The sequence below is a fragment of the Homo sapiens genome, chromosome 19 (genome assembly GCF_000001405.40).
Source record: "Homo sapiens chromosome 19, GRCh38.p14 Primary Assembly".
Classification (NCBI taxonomy): domain Eukaryota; kingdom Metazoa; phylum Chordata; class Mammalia; order Primates; family Hominidae; genus Homo; species Homo sapiens.
This window is the reverse complement of record NC_000019.10, coordinates 37295224-37298067: the sequence shown is the minus strand read 5'-3', so window position 1 is coordinate 37298067 and position 2844 is coordinate 37295224. Positions and strand designations below refer to the sequence as shown.

At 63.6% G+C, this 2844-nt stretch overlaps 1 annotated feature.

Moving 5' to 3' along the window:
- Positions 499 to 1010: an enhancer, noted in NCBI's record as "H3K27ac-H3K4me1 hESC enhancer chr19:37787960-37788471 (GRCh37/hg19 assembly coordinates)". NCBI's record gives its function as "activates a minimal SCP1, AML or CMV promoter by ChIP-STARR-seq in naive H9 embryonic stem cells {active_cell/tissue: H9 hESC(naive)}" and the evidence as "EXISTENCE:reporter gene assay evidence [ECO:0000049][PMID:30033119]".

The following is a 2844-nucleotide window of genomic DNA, read 5'->3' as shown; positions in this document are numbered from 1 at the left end:
TGGCGGTCCGCGTCATGATTGTTTCCCTCTCCACACCTCTTTCTGGATGACTGGGCAGCTGTGGTGATCCTGGAGCTCTGGGCTTCCATACCTGTGTGGGACAGGGAAGCTCTCTCGGTCTCCATGGCCCAAGTGATGGCTGCACGCTCGGTCCAGGAAGAGGCGGAGGCAAGCCCACCGCTCCTGACATTGGCCTTCTAGGAAAGGCGGTGTTGCATCCCACCTGCACTTCCTCTCTGATTCTTGAGGGCCAACCGGTTCCTCCGCTCCTGGGGAAAGTGCCTTCTAGCACCGAATCTTTTGGCTGCCACGGATGTCAGGGAGCCAACGGGACTGGGTTTTGGCTGGGTGCAGGGGAGGTTGCGTCAGGGGTACCTAGCCGGCGGCGGGCTGGGGGTGGGGTGTACTTTGTCCAAACCTCTCGGCTCCTCTGGCGGGCCTCCCTGAACGTGGCGTGGACTCGCGCACAGGCCCTGTCTCGCAGGTTTTCAGGTGCGCTTGGCTTTTCCTCCGCTTTGTGGGGCAGGTCTCCAGTGGCCCCCCGGGCGCACGCCTGGACATCACTGTCCGTCTCGTCGTCGCCCCCTACGGCCTCAAAGACACACGCTGCCTGCATGTGCTCTTGGGGGACGACAGTGCCACATGTGGACACGCTGGCACCAGCTCGGACTCGCCTCTGTCTCTCTTTGCCCGTGTCGCCGGAAGCCGCGTCGGGATGCTGGAGCCCTCGGGCCTTGGAGATGAAGGCAGGCCCCTGCTCCTGCCAGGAGGGAGGGAGGCAGTGGGCTCATGGGTCGGTGCCTTTGCAGCCGACAGCACGCCTTGCGCCCTGGGGATCTTTCTGTGCCCCGGCGAGACCCTTTCGGCCTCACTGCATTGGAACCCCATTCCCGATCACCCGGTTGGATCCATCATCGGACCCCAAGAGGAGTCCGCGCAGCCCAGCCGGCATCCCGAAGCTCCTCCTTTCGCGGGAACCGAAGCAGAAGAGCGATCAAGGAGGTCCTCACCACAGGACTCCTATGGGTCCGACCCTGGGTCTCCCGCAGGCCCCTCTGGCAGTCCTCTTCCCACCCGCCGCCTCGGGCTGCGCCGCCACCGCCGCCGCCGCAACCTCCAGCACCGCCGCCCCAGGCCCCGCAGCCGCCGCGTCGCCGCCATTTTTTAAAGGGTCCGCAGCCTGACTCTGCGGAGTAAGGGGGGGTGGAGCGGGGGAGTCGGCCTCGCCAGTGCGCATGCGCGAGGCCCAAGCCGCCGCTTGGGTCACAGTGAAAGCCACCGTTGCCCGGGGATGGGTCCCTGACACTTGGCGAAGTAGGAGCCCTGTGTGATCGTGCGTCTGAGTCTGGGCTGAGACCAGTCCTGGCCAGGGCAGTTACCAGGACGGTCTCCGGAGGCCGGGATTCGCGGAGGGTCCACCAGCAGGAAGAAACCCCAAGAGGAAGAAACCTCAGACAGATCGCCGGCGAGGCAGCGCGGGATCCCAGCCTCAGGCGTGCGCGGACGGTGTGCGGGTGAGTCTCCCCAAAAGTGGAGCCCTTGTGATGACGAGCACAGGTCCGCCTGTGTGCCCGTGGGCTGCTCTCTCACCGGTGGCTCTTAGTCTCGGAGAGCAGAACCCGGCAGCTTCAGGGGCTGCCTGCGGGTGGGTGTTCCCTGCTGTACGTGTGTGTTCGTTATGGGTGTGTGTGTGTGTGTTGGGGGGGTGCGTCTGTGTGTGTGTCTGTGTGTGTGCGCGCGCAGTGCGTGTCTGTGTGCCGACTTCTGTCTCTCTCTCACGTCTCTCTCTGTCTCTCTGTCTCTCTCTCTCTCTCTCTCCCTTCTCGCTGTTTCCGTCGCCCTCTCTGTCTGTCTCTGTCCGTCTGTGTGTGCGTGCGCCTTGGGACACATGTGCCCTGTGCGCCGGAGGGTGGGTTTCTTGCACGTCGGCCTTTCTTCTGGTCAGCGTGTCCCCGCGTCTCTGCCTGGGTCGTGTGGCCGGTTGGCAGTCGTCGTCCCGGCAGTTCCAGTTTGGGGGTCTGTGAAGGCCTGGGCAACGTGGGCATCGGCGTCGAACCCGCAGGGGTTTTCATCCCCTCCCCATCCGGAGCAGCCTCTTTGCTAGGCTGGATCCAGACGAGCGCTCCCCAACCAAGGACAACGGCCTCCCAGGCGCTCATTGTCCACCCGCAGGAGGGTGCCCGCAGAGCTTCAAGAAGGTGGTTGTCACGCCTGTCGCCCTCTGCCCTCATCGAGAAATGTAGCCACAGCTCGACGCAGGGACGGAGAAGGAAGCCGGCAAGGGGATGGGGCAAGCATGTCTGTCTCTCAAAGGCTGGCCTTCCTGGCCGAGTCACCCGTTTGACACTCCTCCCCGGATGCCGGTGGTGGTGGCATGGCCCCCCCGTATCCTGCCTGGGCTCTGGCCTCTGCTCTGACCTCCCTCTTGCTGTGTCTGCCCCGTCTCTGAGAAGCCTGGCGGCTTCTTAGCGTGGCTCAGTGTCTTCCACAAACAAGACTTCCCCGTCCATCAGGGAGAAACCTCGTGGCGGTCCGCGTCATGATTGTTTCCCTCTCCACACCTCTTTCTGGATGATTGGGCAGCTGTGGTGATCCTGGAGCTCTGGGCTTCCATACCTGTGTGGGACAGGGAAGCTCTCTCGGTCTCCATGGCCCAAGTGATGGCTGCACGCTCGGTCCAGGAAGAGGCGGAGGCAAGCCCACCGCTCCTGACATTGGCCTTCTAGGAAAGGCGGTGTTGCATCCCACCTGCACTTCCTCTCTGATTCTTGAGGGCCAACCGGTTCCTCCGCTCCTGGGGAAAGTGCCTTCTAGCACCGAATCTTTTGGCTGCCACGGATGTCA